Raw genomic sequence first — 27,920 nt, forward strand, 5'->3', positions numbered from 1 at the left:
ATGGATGCGTTAAATTATCACAAGGACTCTCCAAAAATATCCTTTCCATGATGGGCACCGTGGCATGATTTTTAACAGGGGAATCAGATGTGATCAAATTAATGTCTTAGAATTATCACTCTGACCACAGTGAGGAGGAAGAATTTGGAAGAAGCAAATATATAGACAAGGAGAATAATTAGTTCCACGGATGTTGTTCTAATCCAGGTGACAGTTGGAGAGGATTTGATATCAGGGAGGAGTTGTGGTCACGGAGAAAAAGGGATAGAGTCCTGACACGGATATTACAATGGTAGGCAAGAGACCATGTGTCAACACTTGGTGGAGCAATAAGGAAGTTTCGGCTCAGAATGGCTATCTGGCTTGCAGAGCTCACACAGCTACTTAGCAATAGAGGTGCGAGAATGTGCACCCCTGTTCTGAGAATGTTTACCTGTATCTGTTTTGTCAACATGCTAAGATGACTCTATGCCACAGGACTTCGTTGATGGCAGGAGCTAAGATCAGTCATCTCTGAAGCCCTACATCACACCTGACATATTTTATATGTATATATTATATATATATTTATATATTATATATATTATATATTTATATATTATATATTTATATATAATATATATTTACATATAATATACATAATATATATTTTATATATTATAGAGAGAGAGAGAGAAAGAAAGAAAGAGAGAGAGAGAGAGAGAGAGAGACAGGCTCTCACTCTGTTGCCCAGGCTGGAGTGCAGTGGTGCCATCTCGGCTCACTGCCAAGATGGGAGCTTTGACCTCCCAGGCTCAAATGATTCTTGTGCCTCTCTCCCGAGTAGCTGGGATTACAGGTGCTCACCACCATGCATGGCTAATTTTTTTTGCATTTTTAGTAGAGATGGGGTTTCACCATGTTGGCCAGGCTGGTCTCGAACTCCTGGGCTCAAGTGATCCCACTGCCTCGCTTCCAAAGTGCTGATATTACAGGTGTGAGCCACAGCACCTGGCACACCTGGCATATTTTGTCCACAGTACATTTTCAATAAATGTGAACTACAAATACAGGTAAATCCTATTTGCACCTTCCTAACTTGCTTCCCATTCTACATGTCTCAGGGACCACTGGTGTCATGGCAGAGATGAACCTCACCTTGGTGACCGAGTTCCTCCTTATTGCATTCACTGAATATCCTGAATGGGCACTCCCTCTCTTCCTCTTGTTTTTATTTATGTATCTCATCACCGTATTGGGGAACTTAGAGATGATTATTCTGATCCTCATGGATCACCAGCTCCACGCTCCAATGTATTTCCTTCTGAGTCACCTCGCTTTCATGGACGTCTGCTACTCATCTATCACTGTCCCCCAGATGCTGGCAGTGCTGCTGGAGCATGGGGCAGCTTTATCTTACACACGCTGTGCTGCTCAGTTCTTTCTGTTCACCTTCTTTGGTTCCATCGACTGCTACCTCTTGGCCCTCATGGCCTATGACCGCTACTTGGCTGTGTGCCAGCCCCTGCTTTATGTCACCATCCTGACACAGCAGGCCCGCTTGAGTCTTGTGGCTGGGGCTTACGTTGCTGGTCTCATCAGTGCCTTGGTGCGGACAGTCTCAGCCTTCACTCTCTCCTTCTGTGGAACCAGTGAGATTGACTTTATTTTCTGTGACCTCCCTCCTCTGTTAAAGTTGACCTGTGGGGAGAGCTACACTCAAGAAGTGCTGATTATTATGTTTGCCATTTTTGTCATCCCTGCTTCCATGGTGGTGATCTTGGTGTCCTACCTGTTTATCATCGTGGCCATCATGGGGATCCCTGCTGGAAGCCAGGCCAAGACCTTCTCCACCTGCACCTCCCACCTCACTGCTGTGTCACTCTTCTTTGGTACCCTCATCTTCATGTACTTGAGAGGTAACTCAGATCAGTCTTCGGAGAAGAATCGGGTAGTGTCTGTGCTTTACACAGAGGTCATCCCCATGTTGAATCCCCTCATCTACAGCCTGAGGAACAAGGAAGTGAAGGAGGCCCTGAGAAAAATTCTCAATAGAGCCAAGTTGTCCTAACCATCTCCAAACTTGGAAAATCCCGAGAACCACCTACTCTGTAGTGTCAGAATTCTGGACGCTCATTATTTATAGCATGCTCAATGTTTAAATGAATATATTATGGTACTAGGTATAAAAAAGAACCAGAACTTTTAGCTCCAGGGAGAGGAAGGAAGACAAGGAAAAGTCAACCTGAAAAGAGATTGGAGTGGGAGTTTTGATTCCCAGGACAAGTGACAAAAGGATTTGAAATTAAAGCCTGTGCAATCCAAATATGGCACACTTCACCTGTCTGTGATTATAAGAGTAATTTTTTTTGCAAAATTTTTAATGAAAGATTTTCATCATATAGAAATGTTAAAAATAATATGTAGGAAGTTTCCTATACTCAGTACTGAGATTGTGTAATTGCTAATATTTGCTGTCTTTACTTGGTTACATAGATGTAATCTATCCGTGAGTTTATTCATCAATCAATTCACTCATCAAACCACCTTTTTTTGATTCATTTCAAGGTGAGTTCCGGACATCAGCATTAGTACCCTTTACTTCTATGCACTTCAGAATTATATCATCAATTAGGATTCAATATTTAGATTACATTTATTTTTAATGATCAAACTATGGTCGTTTGATGATCCAATTAGCAAAGCTGACCCTACTCAAGGTATGCCTTAATATTCTGGTAGTAGTTCTCAAGAAGGCCTCACACAAACTTTTAACAATGCCTACAATAACATGTCTGTCAATTGCTATCACCTCTGGATATATGCCCTGTTCTTTTTCTTCCTACCTATTACAGTTCTCTCTCGTCATATGGCATGACTAAAAATCCACTTAGCAAAGTTATACCATTCCCACTGCCCATAATGGCGTCTTCAGTGTCTGTATCATAGACATTGACTCTCTGTGTTCTGAAAGCTTTTTCCTTCAGGGAGGCAGAACATTGCTGCATTCCACATGGCGATAGGCAGGAGGGTGGTCCTCGCCTATCCTGGGTCCCTGCACTCTGCAGCAGCTCAGCCTGCATCCAAAGCCTCACAAAATCTGTCTGTTCTTAATCTTTACTTCTCTAATCACAGGGGACTTGTCTCAATCAAACCCAAGGCACTGGAAGAGAGCAGGCCCCATCTATTAATTTTTTTTCATTTAAACAAATTTTTATACCTGGAACTCAAACTTCTTTTCCTGTCTCCTGGATTACTAAAAAAAAAAAAAAAAAAAAAAATCCAAAACCAAAACAACAACAACAAAAAATCCAGGGTACCCTGTATGTGATTGATATAAACAATTGTGGAAAGGGAAAGGTGGGGAGAGGGTGACGGTATCTTACAAACCTAGGATGATTTTAAACTCAGCCAGACAAAAATGCTGTGTGAAACACAGAATTCCAGTTACAAGACTTTAAATGGGAAGAAGATATGTGAAAGGTGGGAGACTCAGCATGCAGGTAGCCAAAGGATATTCAATGGAAGGTGGCTTATAGTAAAATAAAACACATCTGAATCTTTAAAGACATTATATTTATTCTAGAAGACAGAATATTTTAAAGTACATATTGTAATTTTCACAAGAAATATTTTATCCCTTTAATAGTGTTTTGTCTGGTTGTGAAAACCCAGGCTTAAAATTTATAGCTTTACTAAGGGGGATGATTAATAAATAGTATATGTGTCAATTGTGTTACAGGTTGTGTAAAAAATGTTAAAGAAATGTTGGAAAGCTTGAATCAGTGATATGAAATTCCCTCCTGGTTGTGTCTGTGTGAATAAAAGCAGTATACTAAGGAATTATTTGCTGTCTTAGAATCTACCAGAAGTCAGGAAGTACACGATGAATGGAAAGGGGCTACTAAGAGAATAAGTTGCCAGGTAGAAGAAAAAAAATGAATGCCTCCTTCTGATTAAATTCTAAACAAGTATCTGCAGATTTATGTTCAAGAAGGAAGGGCTAAGTGAAAAGGCTGTAGGAACTAGTGGTCATGAAACCCCATGTTGTATACGGAACATCATCTACTTTTTAGTCTATAAATAGAGCTCAGGAAAAGTTAAAAAATGCTTTCCATTTAGGTATGGAAGATGAGTCGGGGTTCAATTATGACATTTTTAAGAAAAGTTGACAATAGGGAAGTTACCTGATTGTAAATAGGTGTGAATATTTCCTTACATTCTGCTATACCTTGTGTTGAACTCATCCAAATAAAAAACCTGTGGTTCTTTTTGTTCAGTTATTTTAATTCTGGAATGGAAATCCTACCATTTTTGACAACATGGATTAACCTAGAGGACGTTATGCTAAGTTAAATAAGCAAGTCACAGAAGGACAAATATTGCATGATTTATATATGAGGTGTCCAAAAATATTATGCTGGTGCAAAAGGAATTGCAGTTTTTGCCATTACTTTCAATGGCAAAACCACAATACCTTTTCACCAACCTAAGTCAAGCTCATAGAAGCAGAGAGTTGCATGGTGATTGCCTCAGCTGGGGAGAGGAAGAAATAGGGGAATTGTTCAATCAGCATAAAGTTTCAGTTATGCAAGATGAATAAGTTCTGGCCACCTGTTGTACAACATAATATCTATAGTTAACAATATATTGAATACTTTAAAACATGTTAAAAGGATAGATCTCATGCTAAATAGTCTTACCACCAAAAGACCAATCAAGCAACCAAACCAAAAATCACAAACCCAGAAAACAACAAAAAAGAAAACCCACAAAAGAACATTAGAAAATTTTTGGAGGTGACAGATATATGATATGTGTATGTCCAAACTCACCAAAATGTATATTAAATAACTGTATTTTTTTTGCATAGCAATTATACCTCAATAAAGCTTGAAAAAATCTGCTTTTGGAAATCTGCTTAAGGGAAATCCAGGTTACTCAAACCAGGAAACACCATCTACTGGGATGTTTTGAATGTGGCTATAGTACCTAAAAGGAGAATAACAAGGTCTTCCGAAGAGAAACCTTGGACATCCAGCTCACAAGGGAATAGCAATGGTAGCATCCATCTGCATCCTGCCTGGTCTCACACCAGGCGCTCAGGCCAGCTCCTCCCATTACCTTTCTCAAGTGTCTGCCAACACAGGGTGCCCTTCAAGCAGACCTTCACTATCAGGGGCCAGGTCCTCAGGAGCTGTCAAAGAAGGGACTTGTTGGTAGCATGACCTTTCTAGTGGGCTTCAGGAGGGCCTCCCACCATTTTCTGCCCCAAACATGAATGAGATATTCTGGGGACCACACTACTTGGTACAAGATGGGGAGAAGAAAAGCCACAGCTCTTACCTGGTAAGTGCGAGTTGGCAGATATTACTTTATTTTGGTTGCAGTGGATATGAGCAATATAGCACGATTTTTGAGTAGCCAAGAACGACCTGAGTCCATCTTAAATCCCTATTTTTTGTTTAAATTTCCTTTGCTTTAAATTAGTTGGCCTGACCTTTTCTTGGAGACTATAGGATATGATAGGAAATGTTGGGTGGTGATGGTCCCTGATCAGCTGAGTGTCCTTCCATAAAACAACTTCCTTGTTCTGTATCTCAATTTCTCCATCTGAAAAATGGGGGAGCAGGTTGATTAAGAGAATTATGAGTCCCTCTGTGGTCTCAGATTCTTTCTATCTAGGCTTTAGCCCTGTTAAATTTTAAATTATTTGAGAAGAGATTTCACATAAAGCATTGGCAGTCATCTCCTTCAGAGGGAGATGTCTGAGACCTGTCTCAGAGCATGGGTTACGATGGAGAGAGAGAGCACTTGAGAACCTGGAAACTGAGAATTATGGGAATGGCTAAGGCCAAGGAAGATGGAGTGTCCAGAGACAAACTTTCTGCATCTTACATTGGCCCTAGACGTCAGGCTTAAGCTTAAAAAATTATCAAGCAGCCATTGTCTTCCCAATGCCTTGTTCATGGCAGATAGGATGTAAACAGAAACTGTTTAGACTCTAGTGGCCGACATGCTTTTCACTCTGCCACCTGTTGCCTCCCTCAGCCACTGCTCAGCCAACATCTCTGTGGGGTTCCCTGAAGCACAGGTGCAGTGGGAATTTCTCTGATTCTTCTTACCATTGTGTGGTAAAAATCTGTTCTTTTGTGTTCACAGAACAGCATTCTCTCTTATCTGGGAAATGCTCCATTCTTTACTCTAACCATATGGGTCACGCAAGTACTCTATCTCCCTGTAGATCTCATCTTTCTGGTCTTCACTGACTGGAAACTGATTGACATTGGGCCAATCCTGGTACCCCATTTTTTTGCCACATAACATCTGGGTTCTTCCTTGGGATTTTTTCAAAGTTGGAACCTAAAAACGTGACTTTTCATCTTCTTTATGGCAAAAAAGCTAGAACATGTGAATAGTAGAAACAACTAGTGGGTATTTTTTTCTACTTTGTTGAAGAAAAGAACATTGAGTCAGAAACAATTATGGACAATAGAGAAATTCTTGGTGTCATGGGAGTTGTTCATCACAGTTGTGCTTGAGACTTAGCTGCATCCCTTCCTGCCCTCACCTTGTTTTGAGAATCATGTAGTGAATTCATCTATGGGTTCAAGCCATGTTACCTGCTGGGCAGAAACCCAGGGACTGTAAGTCATTCTTTCTTAGGGATTTCATTCTCCACATCTGTAAAATGAGAAGATGCACTGGATTCCAGAGTTCTTTCTGGCTTCATCATTCTGGAAAATTCAGACATAAAGGCTCTGAAAACACTTAGAGAAAACTTATAAGGGAAGCAATGGAGGACACTTACCTCAGGATTGCACACCTCTGAGAGGATTTGGAGGAAGCACAGATATGCATAGAAATGAATTAAGATTAATGCACTTAATTATTTGGTCATCTTTATTTGAGGCCCCTTCTATATTTAAGAGCAATAAGCGACCACTGGGTAAAGTGCTGATTAACAAGTTTGGCATTAAAAAGTCACAGACTGGGAATCAAATTAACTACTGATGTAATCATTAAACATCTTCCTATTTGGAAGCCTCAGCCTGTTCATCTGTCGATTGAAAAGCCTGGGTTATTTGACCTCTAATTTCCCCTTCAGTTCCAGCATCTTATGAGAGCCTAAAAAAAATTCCACAGTTCTACAATATGTAAAGTGAGGGCAGGGATAGCAATGATGAATTGAGAGGGGAATGTTTGCAGTAGGATAAGTCCTTCCAAAGTCCTTCTAAAGCAAATTTATAGGCACTAGGTGTTCCTCAGCCTTGAATTGGCATGAGATCCACCTAAGTCTGGATGGAGAAAGATCGTGAAGATGAATTTCAGGGCAAGAGCTGAAGATATGTTCTCCTTACATACTTCCTGGTTCCTCCAGGCCACAAGTCATGACTTCTTGGCTATAAGAAACACTTAAAGTAGTTCAAGAAAAGATCTTTTTGGAAGAAGAGAGGATTATCCCTTGAAATAAAGTCATCTTGGGTCTTTTTCTGGTCCAATCGGCTATGGCTAGAAAGGTAAGGCCAGCCCTTCACCAGTGGCCATGGTGATACTTCGTAGAAGGAGCGAGGGCCTGGTCAAGTGCCCCAAGAATTTTCTACCACAATCTATTCACTTTGAGACTTAGGTGTCATCTGTTAGCTGAGTTCCCTTCTTTCTGAAAAGCTAGAAGCTACATAGCTAGAAGGTACAGACATAGAAGGAAGAACCCCTCAATTATTCCCAAATGTGGAATTCAGCGACATCTTCATGAGAGTTTGCAATATACTACAGGAATTAGGAGTGCACCTTCTGGAGACAGACCACTTGGGTTAAACTCTAGCTCTACCACTTACTGTGGGACTATTGGTGGTCCACTTCAACAATCTGTGCTAAATTTTCTCATCTCCTTAAAATGAAGATAATAATGGTACCTCATTCATGGAATTGTTTTGTGGATTAAATGAATCTATCTATCTGTCTATCTATCTATCTATCTATCTATCTATCATCTATCATCTATCTCTATCATCTATTTTCTATCATCTACCTATTTATTATCTATCATCCATTTATCATCTATCAGCTGTCTACCTAATCATATATCTATGAATCTATCTATCTACTATCAACTATATCTATCATCTGATTTATCATCATCTATCATCTCTTAGAAGAGTGAATTGGCATACAGTAAGCAGCTAAGTTGGTCTTTGCTGTTGGATTTTCCTGTGGGATTTTCCTTTCCAAATTCTGCTCAGATCTATAGCTCTTAGAAAAAAAATCTCTAAACCTCTTTTACTTCAGCTTTATAGGCTCTAATACTCACAATATATGAAATTTTTATCTATACTCTGAGGTTCATTTTGCTTCTCTTCTGGGACTGGCCAAACAGTGACTGAACCATCTTAATAATCATTCTGATAGTGTTTTTTAATTAAAAAATTTAATTGACAAATAATAATTGTGTTTACTTATTTATAGGGTACAATGTAATGTTTTAGCCTATGTATGCATTATAGAATGATTCAGTGAAGTCACTTAAATAAGCCAGTTGTTTTAAGTTTGACTACAGCTTCCTGAAAGCAGGGCCTTGATGGCCTCACAGTCTATTTCATATGGGGTAGCAATAAGAGGGTTGTTGTAATTATATAGTAGAACTGCAGGGGGTCAGCCATTGGATCCACTTCACAATCAAAGAGAGAGACATTCTTTAAAGGGCAAGGTGGTTTCCTCTTCCATATTCCTGAGGGATCCGCCTGGAATTATGTTGCTTCCCCAGACTCCCTTCTAATTCTTTTCCCAGTAGGAGTGATTGCTCCTGGGGGAGCCAGTCAGAGACTTCAAGGAGCCAGATCCTGAGATGAAGTCATCAGGAGATGCTGTTTCTTGGAACAATTACTACTTTGCTATTTGGCATTTGGACAGTTTCTGAGCCTCTTTAGAGCTGTACTGCCTAAGGAGCATCCTTTCCTTAGAACTCTAGTTCTGTACGACGTTAATGAAAAAGAAGTTCTGCGCTCAAATTCTTTTGGGAAATGGTGGGTTAGGAAAAAGTTGATGAGGTTTCTTTTCTTATTTTTCTTTTTCTTTAACTTTTAAGTTCAGGGGTACATGTACAGGTTTGTTACAAAGATAAACTTGTGTCATGGGGGTTTGTTGTACAGATTATTTCATCACCCACGTATTAATCTTAATGGGTAACAACCCATTAGTTGTTTTTCCTGATCCTCTCCCTCCTCCCACCTTCCACCCTCCAACAGGCCCCAGTGTGTGTTGGTCCTCTCTATATGTTCATGTATTCTTATCATTTAGCTCCCACTTATAAGTGAGAATATGTGGTATTTGTTTTTCTGTTCCTGTATTAGTTTGCCAAGGTTTCTTAATTATAGGATTTTGTAGATCCTTTAATATGCTAATATATAATGTGATTTTCCATGTGAAGAATGTAGTATGCAGTGATCTCCAGATTTATGAGAACAGTGAACCTATTTTCCTGGAACGTCTACTTACGACACCTGGCAAAAGGTAAGGCCTTCAAAAGACAAGCCTTCCGGTATGGTTCTCAAATCTGCTACATGTTATAATCACCAGGGAATTTATGAAAATTACTGGTGTTCGGCTCCTACACTCAGGCATTCTGATTCAATTGTTAAGGGGTACAATCTGGGCCTTACGAGTTGCTTCCCAGGTGATTCTAATGTGCAGTGAAGATTGAGAACCACTGCCCTGGGGTCCTTTTGTCTAGTGCCATATTCCAGATAGGTTCAGTCAACTGAGCGTTGACCTGGTCCAAGTCATTGTTTTGCCACCAAGAAGCTCCAGAGTCCTTTCTGTATCTAGGTTTTTAAAATTGATAAGACAGGGAGACATCACATTCACCCTATCTTGGGTCTCCCATGAGGAAGAAAGGCACTGATAGGACTTTGGAGAAATCATGCTTTGCAAGAACATGTCTTTATTATTTTACTTTAGTTTATGGCAGGACACACAGAGGGGCAGGGAGGTCTAGAGGTCCCAATCCCAAGGCATTGGTGCCACAATTTTTGGAGATTAACTGTTTGGAAATCCCCTGGTATGCCTGTTCATAATGTAGATACTGCTCCCATGGCGGATGTACTGCATCTGCATCAATCTATGGAGGTGGGACACTGCTATTCACATTTTAAACAAGTTCTCTGGATAAATTCTTACACACACTGAAGTTTGAGAACTAGTGCTATGGTGGAGGGGTTGGTTACCATCAAGAATTTGCTCAGCTTGCCTGGTGGAAGTCTGTTCACAGCCCACCCACATTGGCCTCTCCAACATTTTATCTTATGACTCCCCACCTGCACCATTCTCTACTTCTGCCAAATGATGAACTTTCGAAGTCATCAATTACAGCATGTTTTGGCAATGGGGAGCAAAAGCTTATGCTTATAAAAAGCCTCCTTTGGGGATCAGTTCATAGCTGGCTATGGTGGCATTGTGTAAAACCCCTGACAAAACTCCCAATTGAGATATAGGAAACCTTCAAAGAAGTACATTTCTTTTGGTACAAGGCAGGAAGAACGCAAGACTAGGAGCCAGCTCCATCAGACCTTGCTGAGGGATGGGGCTTTGGAAGTTTGAAATTAAAGAGAAACTTTCAAAGGTATTAATTAGACACCTTGTTAGGAAGTCATATGAAGATAAGTCTCCTTCCCCTGGAGAATCACCTCAGGAACCAATTAGGGTGTAATACTGGGACAGCGAATATAAGAAGCACATCAGCAAGGTTTCATGATAGATTGGAAGCTCAGGGAGAAAGGCTGGTCCCCTAGTCTTGTTATCTCAAAGTAAGTCTAGAAAAATCTAAGGAAACACTAGTGTCAGGGATATATTGTTTTGTCAAGGGGTAGAGGAAAGAGAGAGACTCCTAGAAGTGAGACTAAAACACAGAAGTATTGGAAGTGACCCCATCTCATCAGGTTGCTATGATTATGGGGTTATCTGCAATTTTATTTACGGAAAGGGAACAAAGGCAAGGTAACTGAAGCCCAGAGAGGAAACGTGACTTGCCCAGGGTCTTACATGCAGTGTGGGTGAACTAGAAGCCAGGTGTCCTTTGGCTTGGCAGGTGATGGGCAGACAACACACTAAACAAAAGAGGAGGGCATTAGCAAAGTAGAATTCAGGTGAGGACAGTTTGTGTCCAGCTCATGACTTTCAGATCTAATTTGTTTTCTTTGTTATTCTCCTCAATGGGTCAGCTCAGTATTGGTCTGGCTGCTGGTACAACAGGTACTCAAACACTATCAAAGCCCTCCTTTACAGCCCTGTTCTAGAACTCCACTAAGGACCCCCAAATTTATTAATCCGAATTTCTCCAACAGCACTCAGACAACACAAGACTACAAAAATATTTCTGCTTTCAAATTTGGATGCTGTTTATTTTCAAGCTACTGTGTTTATTAGGGGCTTTGAGAACAACCAAACAAAGCTTATGGAGCTTTGTTAGGTGCCCAAAAAAACTTATGTTTGCTCTTTTGATTTCAAGGTCAATGCTTGAGTGTGTGTTTATGTGTGTGTATACACACCCTTAATAAGCCAGCCTACTCTAATTAGGATAACAGCTGTTTGTTAAACTTGCATGTTGTTAGACTGAGAATAGTAATATTCCTACAAGCAGAGCCCATTGCTGATTGCTAATAGATTTTTTTGTTTATATGTTTTTGTTCAGAGAATATAAATTTTCCTTCCTTAAAACATTCATTTAAAATTTTAATAGCCACCTTATATATGTGGAGTGCTTTTAGCTTTCCAATGTGCTTTTGCCTCTGTTTTAACCTACGCATTAATCTTATCTCATAAGCAGGGCAAGCATTATGATCCTCTTTTGGCAGAGGAGGAAATTGAGGTTCAGAGAGGTTAAGTGCCTTGTGTAAGATCAAACAGCTAATTGGGGACAGAGTTGCAAATACAAGCGCTGACTTGTAAGTCAGGAATCACTTGCTCTCTGTTCTTTCTATAATAGAAGCATTCATCACTTTTTATCTTATATTACAGTGAGCTCAATATCTGTCTATATCTATCTTCGACTGAAAAGTGTGTTGAAGTTGAGTGCCGACATGTAAGACATTCAATTTAAAGCTTTGTTACTTGAAATCATTTGAACTCCTCTTGAGCTGTCCCCTCATCTGGCTCTTGTCTTAGCCGTTGCAGGTGAACCACTGGATGGATGGCTGAAAGGAATTACACCGTAGTGACGGAGTTCTTCCTTACTGCATTTACTGAACATCTCCAGTGGAGGGTTCCTCTCTTCCTCATATTTTTGAGTTTCTATCTTGCCACTATGTTAGGGAACACAGGCATGATCCTCCTGATCCGTGGCGATCGTCGGCTCCACACCCCGATGTACTTCTTCCTCAGCCACCTTTCCTTGGTGGACATCTGCTACTCGTCCGCCATCATCCCTCAGATGCTGGCTGTGCTGTGGGAGCACGGCACAACCATCTCCCAGGCTCGCTGTGCAGCTCAGTTCTTCCTCTTCACCTTCTTTGCCTCCATCGACTGCTACCTTCTGGCCATCATGGCCTATGACCGCTACACGGCCGTGTGCCAGCCCCTGCTTTATGTCACCATCATAACCGAGAAGGCCCGCTGGGGCCTAGTCACTGGGGCTTACGTTGCTGGTTTTTTCAGTGCCTTTGTTCGAACGGTCACAGCCTTCACTCTCTCCTTTTGTGGAAACAATGAGATCAACTTCATTTTCTGTGACCTCCCTCCTCTATTAAAACTCTCCTGTGGGGACAGCTACACTCAGGAAGTGGTGATTATTGTGTTTGCTCTTTTCGTCATGCCTGCCTGTATCTTGGTGATCTTGGTATCCTACCTGTTTATCATTGTGGCCATCCTGCAGATCCACTCTGCTGGAGGCCGGGCCAAGACCTTCTCCACCTGCGCCTCCCACCTCACTGCCGTCGCTCTTTTCTTTGGCACCCTCATCTTCATGTACCTGCGAGACAACACAGGCCAGTCCTCCGAGGGAGACCGAGTGGTGTCTGTGCTCTACACGGTGGTGACCCCAATGCTGAATCCCCTTATCTATAGCCTGAGAAACAAGGAGGTAAAAGAGGCCACTAGGAAAGCCCTGAGCAAATCAAAGCCTGCTAGAAGACCCTAAATGGACCCTTGTGAAATATATCATTCCTTAGTTTCCCCATCTTTTCTGTCTTTTCTCAATAGCACCTTCTGGAGAGACTTTCCTAAATAACCCTATGCAAAATCGCACCTGAACTTCCCACCTCCACTTTCTGATTTATTATTCCATGTAATACTTATCATCATCTGACATATTAGATGTTATATGTGTTTGACATTTTCTAATGCTCACAACTAGAAAGTAAGCAACATGAGAGCAAATACTTTTTTATCTGAGCTTCATTTCTATATGTCCAGTTCCTAGCAAAGCACCTAGCATGTGAAAGGCACTCAATAAATATTTGTTGAGTGAATGAATCTCAGGTTCCATTGTCTACTTTTAAGTTGTAATTTCTTCAGTCATCAGTTTTCTTATCTGTCAAGTAGATTTATCTACCTTATAGGACTATGGTTTTGAGGATCCAATGCATAAATGGACAAGGATCGCCTCTGTCTTATTCACTAGTATCTGCAGAACACAGTGCATTGCCCAACACAATAAATACTTGATGAGTGAAGCAAGAATATTTGGAAAATTATAAAGCAGTCTACAAATACAACTGCTGTTTTGATCCAAAGGTATTTTCCAAATTTTGTCATTTATTCATTTATTCTTTCTTTTTTTATCTTCTTGTTTCTGTGATTTTTGAATAACAATGAGGAAAATAATAATAATAATAATAATAATAATAATAGCAAGTTACACTTATTAGGCATTATTATCTTCCAGGACTTACAATAAGTTTGCTACAGGAATTATTTGATTTAATTTACAGGACATCCCTATGAGGTAGGTTCTATTATTATCTCTGCTTTATAGGTAGGTGAGGCACTTGAGGCTTAGAGATGTTGAGTAATATTCTCAAGGTCGGCAAGCAAGTAGTTGGGTGGGGCTTCCACCCAGCTAGGCCTGAGCTCCTATCGGACACACACACTGTTGCTAGCTGTAATCTATTGCCTATTCTATATAATCACTCAACCGGAATTTATTGTTATTGCTCTTTTCTTTTTCCTTTTATCTGGTGAAGAAAAGGTAAAAGTCCAATCTGTTGGTGTAGATGGCAGTCAACAAAATTCATTTTATAGCCCCTATGTTCTAGGATTGTATAATGTGACTTTGTGTATATATGTGTGTGTGTGTGTATAGTTGTGCATGATAAAGTGAAGTGTGTAAACAGCAACTTCTGAATTTGAGGAATGTTTGTTTTAAGGAGATATAATAAATATTTTAGAAAGGAGATGGCTGGGCATATTTAGGAAAAGGTATAGGGAAAAAATGAACACCTATGGCCAAGAGGTTTGGGATCATATATCAGCTCTGGTAGAAATCATTTAAAAACTGCAGATTGGGGTGAAGGAATACCACAGAATGCCTCTTGATGTTCATTTTCCAAATATTAACTGTCATGCAAATATTTTCAGAGCACACCAACATCTGTGGTGGGTGTTAGACATATTTGTGTTGTGGAAAGAACTCAGAACTTGGCACCAAAGTGTCCAGTCTGCCACTTCTTAGCAGTGTGGCTTCAGATTAATTAGTGCCTTTCAGCCTGCTTCTCCTCTGTGAAATAATACTTACTAAGCACTTACTCTGGGACATGATTTACATGTATCTCATTTATTCTCACAATAACTTGGTATATTTGGATAATTGGAAGGCATTCGGTAATATTATAAACATTATTTAGTGTTATTAATTACTGTTATTAATTCATGTTAGTATGGTGCTTGTCCAGGCTCCACAGCCTAGTGAGTAGTGATGGGCAGAGGGACCCATAGCTGATCTCTGGGCCTCTTTATTGAAGAACTGTCTGGAACAGTCCCTCCTGGGCCCAGATTAGCTCTAAACCTGGACATTTCCAGGAGTCAAGTTCTCAAATAATTTTTTAACTTAATTCTTAAGCTAGTGCACACTTACCATATCCTAGGTACAATGCTAAAAGCTTTACATGAATCCTTTATTTTAGCCCTCCTAACAATGTTAATGAAAAGTAATTTTTATTGACCCCATTTAGCAAAACAAAAAAGAAAATCTAAGACTCAGAGATATTATGTGACTTGACCAAGTTATGTAGCAAGAAAGTGGCAGATGAGGGAGGTTCTGTTCTCAGGTCTCTGACTCCAAAGTACATACTCTTATCTGATAACTGCCCTTCTGCACTCTTTCTTCTCCTTCTCCCAGGCCCTAGTTCCTGGTTATAGTTTGCTTCAGAGGTTATCTGGATTTCAGTTGCATTCTTGATCTCCATGTTTGGTAGGTGTGGGCTGAGATGGGTGAGTTTGATGGACTCACATTATTGTGAAGTTCATGGAACTCATTTTGGCCCTCTTGTAGGCCAATGAGGAGAGTCTGGGGGAATCTATAACTCCCTCAGAAAGAGCAGGGTGGGCTCAGGTAAAGTATTGCCTTCAAAGCCCTTCCAGAATATCTCTTGGCTCAGAGTGCTTCAATAAATAGTTAATCGGCTTAGTGCCTCCAAGCAGGCACTAACCTTCCCTTCGGGTCTTCTTTTTCAGTCTTAAGTGATTACCTAAGGAATTAAATATTCCTTTCCAAACACTGATTATTGTTATTTATTACTATTAGCATTTACAAATATGGAATTGTACATATATACAATGTGTATTTACTTTGTTATTTTTGTTATATCTATCATTATTATCAAAAGACATCATTCAAAAGATGTATCTGAAATCCCTTCTAATTTACTAAAACTTTAAAATATAGTTTTATTGAGATTTGACATGCAATAAACTGTACATATTTAAAGTGTACAATTTGATAAGTTTTGACATGTATACACTCATGAAACCATCACCATAATCAAGATAATGAACATGTACATCACTTCCCAAGTTTCCTTATACCTACTACAATTTCTCCCATGTGCCCCTTCACATCATTCCCCATCTACACCCTCAGGCCACTACTGGTCTGCTTTTTGTCCTATACATTAGTTTGAATTTTATATAAATTTTATGTCAATGGACTCATATCTGACTTCTTCTACTTAGCATAATTATTTTGAGAATCATTAACATTGTTGTGTATATCAATAATTCATTTCACATTATTGCTGAGTATTATCACATTGTATACTATGTTTGTTTATTCATTCATCTATTTATGGGGATTTTAATTGTTTCCACTTTTTGGCTATTATAAGCAAACCTGCTGTGAATATTCATGAACAACCTTTGTATGGATATATACTTTCAGTTCTCTTAGGTACCTAAGGGTGAAGTGGTTGGATTACATAGTAGGCATATGTTTAATTTCTTAGGAAACAGCCAAACTGTTTTCAAAGTGGTTGTATCACTAAACATTCCCACCAACAGTGCTAACAGTGCATGAGAGTTCCAGTTCTTCCAAATCCTCACCAAAACTTAGCATGGTCAGTCTTTCTAATTTTTGTACTTTGTGGTAAGAACAGATAACAAGATATTTACCCTCTTAACAAATTTTGAGTTTAGTATGGTATTGTTAACCGTAAGGATGATGTTCTACAGCAAATCTCCAGAATTTATTCATCTTGCATAACTGGAACTTTATACCTATTGAACTACAATTCCTCATTCTTCCTGGCCCCAAGCCCCTGGCAACCACCATTCTATTTTTGCTTTTATGAGTTTGACTATTTTAGATACCTTAAAGTGAAATCATGTAGTATTTTTCTTTCTGTGACTGACTTATTTCACTTAGCATAATGTTTTCAAGGTTCATCTGTGTAGTTGCATATGGTAAGATTTCCTTTAAAAGATGAGTAATATTCTAATATATACAGTCATCCCTCAGTGTCCATCAGGGGATTTGTTCCAGGACCTTCCACAAATACCCAAATCTGCAGATGCTCAAGTCCCTGATATAAAATGATGTAATATTTGCATATAAACCTATGCACATCTTCTTGTATACTTTTTTTTTTTTTTTTTTTTTTTTTTTTTGAGACGGAGTCTCGCTCTGTCACCCAGGCCGGACTGCGGACTGCAGTGGCGCAATCTCGGCTCACTGCAAGCTCCGCTTCCCGGGTTCACGCCATTCTCCTGCCTCAGCCTCCCCAGTAGCTGGGACTACAGGCGCCCGCCACCGCGCCCGGCTAATTTTTTGTATTTTTAGTAGAGACGGGGTTTCACCTTGTTAGCCAGGATGGTCTCGATCTCCTGACCTCATGATCCACCCGCCTCGGCCTCCCAAAGTGCTGGGATTACAGGCGTGAGCCACCGCGCCCGGCTTCTTGTATACTTTAAATGATCTCTAGATTACTTATAATCCCTAATACAATGTAAATGCTATTCATAAGTGCTATTTAAATAGTTGTTATACTGTATTGTTTAAAAAATAATGACAAGAAAGAAGTCTATACACGTTCAGTACAGACACAATTGTTTTTCAACTATTTTGATCCAAGATTGGTTGAATCCATGACTGTGGAACCCACAGAGGCAGAGGGCTAACTGTACCACATTTTCTCTATCTCTTCATATGTCAGTGGACATTTAGGTTATTTCCACATCTCAGCTACTACGAATAATGCTTCAATGATCATGGGAGTACACACACACACACACACACACACACACATATATATATCTATATCTATATAGATATAGATATAGATATATTGGTTTCAATTCTTTTGGATAAATACTCAGAAGTATTGAATATTTATTGCTGAGTCATACGATAATTCTATCTTTAGTTTTTTGAGAAAACTTCATACTGTTTCCCATAGCAACTGCATCATCTTACATTTCCCACAACAGTGTACAAGGGTTCCAATTTCTCCATGTCCTCACAATCATTTATTTTTTTAAAAAAATAATAACCATCCTAACAGGTGTGAGATGATATCTCATTGTGGTTTGATTTGCATTCCCCTGTTGATGAGTGATGTTAAGCATCTTTTCATATACCTGTTGGTCAGTTGTATATCATTTTGGAAAAATACTATTCAGATCTTTTGCCCATTAAAATGTTTTTTTAATTTAAAAAGATTTATTGAATAAAGATTGTGTATATATATATATATATATATATATATATATATATATATGGTGTGTAATTTGATGACTTGGTAGATGCATTGTAATAATCATTACATTGTGTAATCATTATCACAAACAAATTAATCAACGCACCTATCACCACACATGCTGTATGTGAAATCTCCAGAACTTGTTCATTTTATAACTGAAAATTTGTTCCCTTTGATCAATATATTATTTTTCTCCACCTCCAGCCACTGGAAACTATTGTTCTCTGCTTCTATGAGTTGGACTTTTTTAGATTCCACATATCATTGATATCATACAGTATTTGCCTTTCTGTGTCTGGATTATTTTTCACTTAGCATAATATCCTCCAGGTTCATACATGTTGTCACAGATGCTGGTATTTTCTTCTTTTTTATAGCGATTAATAAATAATACTCCATTGTATATGTATACCACATTTCCTTTATCCATTCATCCATCTATAGACACAAGTGTTTTCTCTATCTTAGCCACGGTGACTAATGCTGCAATTAACATGAGAGTGCAGATATATTTTTGAGATACTGATTTCATTTTCTTTGGATAAAAACTCAGAAATGGAGTTGCTGGATTGTATACCAATTTACATTCCCACTAAAAATGAACAACTGTTTTTTTTTTTCTTCCACACCCTCTCCAACACTTATCTTTTGACTTTTTGAGAATAGCCATCCTAACATATGTGAGGTGATATTTCACTGTGGTTTTGATTTGCATTTTTCTGATGAATAGTGATGTTGAACATCTTTTCATATACCTGTTGGCCATTTTTATGTCTTCTTTGGACAAATGTGTATTTAGATCTTTTACCCGTCTTCTAATTCAATTACTTTTTTTTCCTATTGAGTTGTACAAGTTCCTGGTATATTTTAGATATTAATCCCTTATCAGATATATGATTTGCAAATATCTTCTCCAATTCCTTAGGTTGTCATTTTACTCTGTTGACTGTTTCCTTTGAAGAGAAGCAGCTTTAAAAAATTTGATGTGGTCTAACTTGTCTAGTTTTGCTTTTGTTGCCTGTGCGTTTGGTGTCATAGCTAAGAAAGTGTTGCCAAAACCAAAATCATGAACATTTTCCTCTGCATTTTCTCCTAAGAGTTTCAGGATTTACATTTATGTAAGTTTTTAATTCATGTTGGATTGATTTTTGTGTATGGTGTGTGATTAGCATCCAACTTCATTCCTTTGCATGTGGAAATCTGGCTTTCCCAATATCATTTGTTGAAGGCACTATAATTTCTCCACTGTGTATTCTTGGCGCCCTTGTCAAATATTGGTTGATCATATTTGGGTTTATTTCTGGGCTCTCTATTCAGTTCCATTTGTCTATATGTCTGTCTTTATGCTACTATATTTGTATCTTGCAAGCTTGCTAAACTCACTTATTAGTTTTAGTAGCTTCTTCTATTTATTCCTTTTGATTTTCTACATACACAATTGTGTTGTCTATGAATAAAAGCAGTTTTATCTCTTTCTTTCTAATTTGAATAGTTTTATTTCTTTTTCTTGCCTTATTGCACTGGCTAGAACTTCAAATACAATGTTAAACGGAAATGAGGAGAATGTAAATTTCTGTCCTATTGTTTATATTAGGGAATAATCTCTCATTTTCCCACCATTCCTTATGTAGATTTTTCACAGATGATCTTTTTCACATAAGGGAGTTCCCTTTGATTCCTGTTTTTTCTTTTCATAGTATTTTTCTTTTTAAAATCAGGAATGGATTTAGGATTTTCTGCATCTACTGAGCTGATAATCTAGTTTTGTTTTTGTTTATTAATATGATGGATAGCATTTTCTGATTTTTGAATGTTAAACCATTCTTGTAATTTGGGGGATAAACTACACTTGGTTACAGTATATTATTCTTTTCATTATCACAGTAAGTAGAAGATGTTCCTGATCATTCTAGGGTGGGTAAAATTGTCACAGATGGTATTACCTAAAACTGTATGCCAATTTTAAAAGAGGTTTGTAGTTCTGAGTCATTTACAATCCTCTGTTAAAAGGAGAATATATATAGAGGGACATATGCAAGTGGAAGGAAGACAGAGGAAAAGAAGACATTTGAAATTTTTTCATCTTCTGAAAAATCTGTTCTGAAGGAGGTAGTTTCATTTCGATTTCAATGCTGAGGATTCAGGACTGCTTGAGAGATAGCTAGGCATGATAGCTGCCTGAGTTGAAGAGAACAGATCAGAAAGTATGATTTCAGGAGTAATGGTTTGGGTCCTGTGTTATTTGAAACAGTTGCTCCTTCTTTTTTCTTGGACAAACTTTCACATTCTTCCTTTGTCTTCCTGACTACTAGTTTATTCTGTTTCTTAAATATTAGAGTCTACCAGGGCTTTGTCATTGACCTTGCTCTCTCTCTTAGTTGCTCCTTAGGTAATTTCACCAAGCCCTATGACTTTAAATACTTCTTTTATTTAAATAAAATAAAATAAAATTCTTTACCATGGCCTATAAGACTCAGCCTGTATGGGTTTCTAATTACCTCCATGACTATATGTGCTTCCACTCTCCTCACTCACTCTGCTCTAGCCATGGAGAATGCTGTCCATGCAGAATGCAAAACCTGTTCCCATAAGGATTTTAAACGTGCTCTTCCCTTTTATTGGAATGCGTCCCCAGGTCTCATGGTTCACTCCCTTATTCTATTCAGTTCTCTGTTCAAATATCTAACAGAGTCCTTCCCCAAGGCCTAAACTTCCTTTGCTATCATTAGCCACTCTCTGTTTCATTGTCCCCATACCTGCTTTACCTCTCATTGAATTCTTCTTACCACCTCATATTATATCAATGATGTATTTATTTATGTGTTCATTATCTGTCTTATGCACTATGAAGTAAGAGCCAAGGAAGCAACAGCATTGCCTCATTTCCTTTTGACTCTCAATAGGTATTAAAAAAAATTCTAGTGATCAGTAAGTAAATATTTGCTGACCCTTTATAGATGAGGTTTTACAAGTTATTCCCAGCCAATGTATAGATTTTTTTTGTGTGTGTTTCTAGGCAGTCCTCTTGCATTTGTGTTAGCTACAACGAGATGGCATGAGTTTCTGTTGATTTATTCATAACATCAAAAATTGGCTTTTCTCAGGTACAGCTAACACAAAAGAACAAGAATAGTGTAAAATTCAGTTGGCTGTGCTTTGCACAAAATCTTTATGTTTTCTTAATCTGATGACATTAATTATTGACCAAACATTGTCTTCACTTATCAAGTCTTAAAAATCATGTAAAATCATTTTTAAGTTAATTTTTCTTTTTAGGTTGAGAGTGCACTGAGGTCATGCACTGTGAATTATTCATTCTTTTAGTCCCAGATTCAGATCCTGACAAATAGAAAGTTCTCAATAAATGTTTCTTGAAAATGGCAAATTGGAGAATGATTCAGGGAAATAAAAGTATCTAGACATAGATTTACGCATTTCCTCTGTAAAGACTTGTCTGGATTTTTATAAAAGTTTGTGACTTTCTATTTTCTTACTCAATTCTGTTCTGTGTCCCAAATCTAATCCTAATTCATTTTCTTAGGCACACTCTCAATGTACATGTAAGTCTAAATCTGGCCCAAATTAACCTTTCTGTTACTCACTGCTGATGAAGTTCTACTTTCCAGCCTCCTATGGGACCTACACGCCAGAGATAAGAGGTTCAGCACAGGCCAACAGGGATGGGATCAGTTTAGACCAAATCACCTGAGTTTAACCCTAGTGGTCCTTATTCTATCAAATATGGACTAGATCTAACCAGAAGAAAGGCTGGGGGATGGGGAATCCCAGGTTCACCAACTAATGTTTATATAACTGAGAAAATTCTGGTACCATCTTAAGTATGATGGTTGAATAGGCAAGACAGTTCATATTCATTAAAATTTTAAAAAGTTTTTCCCTCTTCCTATAATGGTAATCATTGTAAAATGTTAAAGCAATACAGAATGTAATATGAATCATTTTATCTCATGACCCAAGCAAAACCACTGTTATGGTTATATATTACTGTGTACAAACCACTCCAAATGGGAGAAACTTAAAACAATAACAATCATCTTATGGTTGTCTTTTGGGTTCTAGGGGTTGGCTGGGCTTGGCTAGGTAGTTTTCACTTGGTCTCTCATGTGCCTTGTGGTTGGGGCTGAGGCTGGAATCACCTGAAAACTCACTCACATGTTGGTGACTGGGTAGGGAGACTCAAAGACTGTTGGACCAGTGCAGCTGGGACTCCTTGGACAACTCTCTTGAATTCTGTATAGTCTTTCCATATGGTCTGTCCAGCATGGTGACTTTAGGGTAGTGGGACTTCCATAGCAACTCAGAGCTCCAGAGGTCCATGTCCCGAGAGAGAGAGTGGGACAGGTGGAAGTGTGTCTTTGTCTGGGATGCTATAACAAATTTCCATGAACTTGGTGGCTTAAAAAACATTTATTTTTCATAGTTCTGAAGGCTGAAAGTCTGAGATGAGTGTGCTAGCCGGGATGGTCAGGTTCTGATGAGACCTCTCTTTTGGTTTCAGACTGTTGATTTCTTGATGTATTTCTCCATGTGGCAGAAATAGAATTCTCTGGGATCCCTTGTATAAAGGCACTAATAATTTATGAGGGCTTCATCCTCATGACCTACTCAGCTTTCAAAGGCTCCACCTCCTACTACCATCAGTTTGAGGGTTAGGATTTTAACACATGAATTTTGGGGGGAAACAAATATTTAGTCCATATCAAAGCTGAATTGGTTCTTCTAAGACAGCCTCAGAAATCATGCAACAGTACTAATGGGGTGCTCTATTGGTCAAAAAAGTACTCAAAACCAAGCTCAATGGTGAGGGTCATGGGCTCCACCTCTTGATGGAGAAGTGGTAGGGTACTTCAAGAGCACGTGGGATGGAAATATTGTGGCCATTTTTGGGAAATGCAATCTGCCACAACCACTTATATTTTGATGGCTCTCCTCTGAGGCATCTCTTTATGCAAATTCTGTTTTACAAAAAATGGGTTTTTATGATACATGCTGTTATAAAACTTTCTTTGTTCATATTAGACCAATTGCAAGATCACAGAAAAAAGAAGCTGAGAGATTAGCAACATGACTTGCCTTGCAGTGAATTAGCTGCAGAGTTGGTCTAGATTCCATGTCTCTTGATTACAAATCTGGGACCCTTTCTACTGCTCCACATGGAATAATGAAGGCAGAGTTCTGTGCTGTTCCATGTTGGAGCTACGGATGAAACAGGATGGGTATTGAGGTACTTGAGGAAGGCTAGAACTGTTGAGAGGTTTATTTGGTAGCCCATACAGAAGCAGGTGGGTTTTACATTTATAATGAAAACTAAAAGGAAGCATCAAAGTTTACGAGATAGCATGGAGAAAGGCAGGTGGCTGATTATACATTTCCTCTTAAATAGGTTGGATGATTCTAAGTTTAGAGAAGAACGGAAGTCAGCTTAGGCTGGGAAAAAATAAACTTAATTTGGCAGGGCAGGTAGGTCGGAGTTGGAAGCCAGGAAGGTGGGCAGTTAAAAAAAAGTATCACTTTGTTTTTAGTGTCTACTATATACTACATAGCTGTTGGGGACAGAGTCAGAACTCTAACTGATACATTTATACATAAACTCTGTGGTTTTCCACTGAAATAATTGAAGTCATCTGGAGTCATATTTCCTAAAACATATTTGTGCAATGCTAGTTCCGCGAACAACTGTGATGAATTGGGTTCTGTATGATGGAAATAATTGAATTTCAATTATTTCAAGTTTAGTCTTGAGAAATGCTGTGTACCATCTTACCCTCTTGGAGATTTACATGACAATGAAGGTTCTTGGAAGTTGTCCAGTTATTACATTGTGCTTCATATAACTCAGAGTTGCCAAAAATTATTTGACCATGGGAATCTTCATTGTTATAACCACTAAACATCTCACTGAATAGTACCTTAACAAAACAAACTTTGAGAAAAACTGACCTAAAGAAATGTAGATTAAAGAAAGAAGTAGTAATAACTGTCTTCAAAGCTACAAAGGCTAGACTGTAGGCACTCTATGCACCTGTGATAGTCTAGGTTATGAATAATTTGTACCAAAGTTTATAATAATATAGATTGTAATTAAGATGTGTTTTTAAATTAATTTTTTATTTATGCATAAATTTTTAATTTATCAATACATGTATTTTTATTGATAAATTGTCCTCCATAGTTATGGGGAACATCTTATATTTTGATACATTCATATAATGTGTAATAATCAAATTAGGGGATTAGGATATCCATAACCTTAAACATTTATCTTTTCTTTATGCTGGGAACATTGGAATTATTCTCTTTTAGCTATTTTGAAATATATAATAGATTACTGTTTACCATAGTGCCCCATAATGATTTATCAAACAATAGGTCTTATTTCTTCTATCTAACTGTATTGTTGTACCCATTAATCAACCTCTATTCAACTCCACTCCACTTCTCTGCTACTGGGCCCTGGTAACCACCAATCTACTCTCTAAGGATGCGTGTTATTCTTGTGACTTACCATGGCAGTTACAGATTTTGTTTCCAAGACAAGAGCTAAGTGGAAAAGCTCCAATCCCCTTAGAGGTTGGAATAGGAGACAGACATCTGCAAGTTCATCAAAAGTTGAACCGTCACAACTGTGTCATACACTCTGGGCTGAATCATTTATCTGATTATGTGGACTAAAAGAATGTAGATGTCCAGGGCATCAAAGGGAAGAAATTTTTCTATTGATGAGCTTTCTCAGGGCACCTTTCATATCCTTATTCCTCAAGCTGTAGATGAAGGGGTTCATCATGGGTGTCACCACAGTGAATAGGACAGCACCAATCTTATCAGTGTCCTCAGGGTGAGTGGAGGAGGGGAAAAAGTACACGCCTACAGTGGTTCCGTAGAACAGTAATGCAATTGTCAGGTGAGAGCCACAAGTGGAGAAGGCTTTCCACTTTCCCTGTGTGGATGATACTCCCAGGACAGCTCTGATGATGCAGACATAGGAGAAGAAGATGAGTACAAAGGGGAAGATGATAACTGATAAACCCACAATAAACAACACAAGCTCATTGATCATTGTATCTGAACAGGACAGTTTGAGCAGAGGGGCCAAGTCACAGAAGAAGTGTGGGAGAGTGTTGTGGTCACAGAAGAGCAATTGAATGAGCAGAAGGGTGTGTGTAAGAGCAATAATATTACTGAGGAACCACGAGATGACTGTGAGCAAAGTGCCGAACCTGGCCCGCATGAAAGTTGTATAGTTCAGAGGGTGGCAGATCGCCACAAAGTGGTCGAAGGCCATGGTCCCCAAAAGCAAATTGTCAGTGACGACAAACACAATAGAAAAGTACATCTGTGTGATGCAGCTCTCATAAGAGATGGATTGGCTGTTGGTTTGAATATTCACCAGCATTTTGGGGACTGAGTTGGAAATGGAGGAAATATCAGCAAAGGATAGGTAGGCAAGGAAGAGATACATGGGGGTGTGAAGGTATATATCCAAGCTGATAGCCACAATGATGAGCCCGTTCCCAACCACAGTGACCACATACATACTCAGGAAAAGCACAAAGAGGAGGTTTTGATGTTCAGCCTGGTTGGAGAGTCCCAGGAGAATGAATTCAGTGATGGTGGTTTGGTTTTCTTGATGCATATTTCTGCTGATCTGAAGAAAGGAACACAAAGTCTTCATACACCTACAAGAAAATTTAACATGGTGTCATTTGGCTGCAGCCATTACAGTAAGGCACTTCCTTTAAGCTGATGAGCAATAAAGCTTCTTCTGCTTATTAAGTGGAAGTGCTACTTAATAAGGAAGTATTTCAGCAGTGCAGAGATTTGGAAAATGCCACAGAAAAAGACAGGACATGGCAGATTCTTCTCAATGAACATGTTTTAAACTCTAACAGAATTCTGAATGTGATTTTCCCAGTTGGTTCTAAATGTAGGTTAAATCCCCCAAACTGAGGATCATAGGTGAGGCATACCCTATATTCTAGAGATGTTAGGTACATGTGCAGGAATTACTTAAAAGTTACCAAACTGGTCCCCAAATCATCTCCCTTGTTCAACTTTATGCCTTAAATCTAAGAAAGGAGAAATTTCAAGTCTCGTAAAAGTGAAGAGACTGGAGAAGGAAACACAACTAAGGGTTAGGAATGGCTATGGGAGTGTACACCATTGTGTGGGTGCTTCATCCCATTAACGCCGGGGGAGAACTCCAAAACAAGTGCTTTTGGAGAATAAGTACAAGTAGGAGCAATCAGGGTTTTACTTCATCTGTGGCTAGATATTAGCTTCAAGAAAATTTAGGGGGCACAGATACACTTAAAGACTTCTGTTTGCCTCTCATTTCTAAAGGTGAGGGGCTCACTGGATCAGGTCGTGATGGCAGGGTAGAGGGAAAAGATGGTGGTTAGTAGGGCAATCTGCATTTTCACCCATGACATGGCATAAATATGTGAATTTCCCATAGGACACGTGATGCTATAGGAGGTCATTGGAGTCAAGTCACCTTGTTGAGATTCCAATCCAGAGACAGCCTATTGGGGCAGAGGAGGCTGTAGCAATAAGAAACCATGAGGTGGGTCTCTTTTGAAAGAGAGATCTTAAAGAGATCAGGGACATAATTCATTGCCCTTGTCAGGGAACCGCATAATGGGGCAGTCTCCAAAAGGGAGCCTCTGACAATCCTCAAAATGATCTCAAGAGACACCATGCCTGCCACATATAAGGCACAAGCTGCTAGTATCTATGGCAACAGATATGAACACTTTTGCCTTTTTTCCCATCCCCATTCTTCCTCCCTGACCTGATAAAACTGAAAAAGAAGGAAAGACCAAAATGACTAAAACAACAACAACAATAGTAACAACAACGGTTTTGCGGGAAGAGAGGCCAAAGAGCAAGGGAAGAACATATGCTCCCACCTTTCCACTGTATGACCCAAGCTACACATCAGATCTGAACTTACAAGGTAGGACCCATGCTTTGAATTGATAGTGAAGCTGAAGTTTAAAATTGGGCTGGACTTGGTTTTTTAATACCTGGAAATGGGTCTTCAGTATCAAAGTTAAACATTTTTAAAACCTTAAGTGGCCAGAAAGGTAAACGGCTCTCACAAGGTGTCATCCAGGAGAAGGGAAGAGAGACTGGACCTAGTATGATTTTCCTTGTGATTTATTGGAAATAATTTCAGCTTGGGAACAAAGAGACATTTGTCCCTCTTTCTACTCTCCTAACATTGTCTCCCTCTCATTTTATCCCTCTCTTCTACCTATCTCCAACATCACTTATCTCTCAAAGATTTTCTTTCCATTCAGCATCCAGAAAAGAGGAAATCATGTCTGGAATTCCTGAAAACTGAAAGGCATTGGAGATTGAGGCAGAGATCTGAAGTTTCTTTGCTTCTGAAAAGCTTGGCTTAGAAATCAGAGAGGAGGAAAAACACATGCAGAAGGGAGAATCCACAACAAAACTGAAATGAGCTAAATAACTGGCAGGCATCTATATTGAAGATACAGACTGGCCTGTGGTTATCAAGCCCTGGGCTGGTTTGCACTTGACTAGAAGGGAGAATTGTATGTTTCTGAGTGACAATCTCTGATTTCTGCTTTCCATTCTACCTTTCCTACCCACCAGTAGTCCTGCATAAACTGTTCTGAGTTCTTAAGGTGGCTGCCTAGCTCGTCAAGACCAATGCTGGATTCTGAAGAGATTCACCTCTGAATGATGGTAAAAATCTCAGAAAGTTACTGG

At 39.0% G+C, this 27,920-nt stretch overlaps 3 protein-coding genes across 3 annotated transcripts in view; 2 read left to right on the forward strand and 1 right to left on the reverse strand.

Moving 5' to 3' along the window:
- Positions 1–3,289, forward strand: part of OR9Q1 (olfactory receptor family 9 subfamily Q member 1) — a 157,736-nt gene extending 154,447 nt beyond the window's left edge. Inside the window, exon 3 of the mRNA NM_001005212.4 lies at positions 1,104–3,289. Coding sequence (NP_001005212.1) covers positions 1,118–2,050 — 933 coding nt within the window. The 5' untranslated portion in view covers positions 1,104–1,117 and the 3' untranslated portion in view covers positions 2,051–3,289. The remainder of the gene's footprint in view (positions 1–1,103) is intronic.
- Positions 3,290–10,742: 7,453 nt separating this feature from the next.
- Positions 10,743–15,726, forward strand: OR9Q2 (olfactory receptor family 9 subfamily Q member 2). The gene is made up of 2 exons (NM_001005283.3): positions 10,743–10,781; positions 11,992–15,726. The coding sequence occupies exon 2, from the start codon at positions 12,164–12,166 to the stop codon at positions 13,106–13,108; it is 945 nt and encodes a 314-aa protein (NP_001005283.1). The 5' UTR covers positions 10,743–10,781; positions 11,992–12,163; the 3' UTR covers positions 13,109–15,726.
- OR1S2 (olfactory receptor family 1 subfamily S member 2) lies at positions 24,877–25,815 on the reverse strand. The gene has a single exon (NM_001004459.2). The coding sequence runs from the start codon at positions 25,813–25,815 to the stop codon at positions 24,877–24,879; it is 939 nt and encodes a 312-aa protein (NP_001004459.2).

The sequence above is a fragment of the Homo sapiens genome, chromosome 11 (assembly GCF_000001405.40).
Source record: "Homo sapiens chromosome 11, GRCh38.p14 Primary Assembly".
Classification (NCBI taxonomy): Eukaryota; Metazoa; Chordata; class Mammalia; order Primates; family Hominidae; genus Homo; species Homo sapiens.

Excerpts from the sequence above, each read along its gene's own strand:
- OR9Q2 (NM_001005283.3), top strand. The coding sequence starts at position 12,164 with ATGGCTGAAAGGAATTACACCGTAGTGACGGAGTTCTTCCTTACTGCA.
- OR1S2 (NM_001004459.2), bottom strand. The coding sequence starts at position 25,815 with ATGCATCAAGAAAACCAAACCACCATCACTGAATTCATTCTCCTGGGA.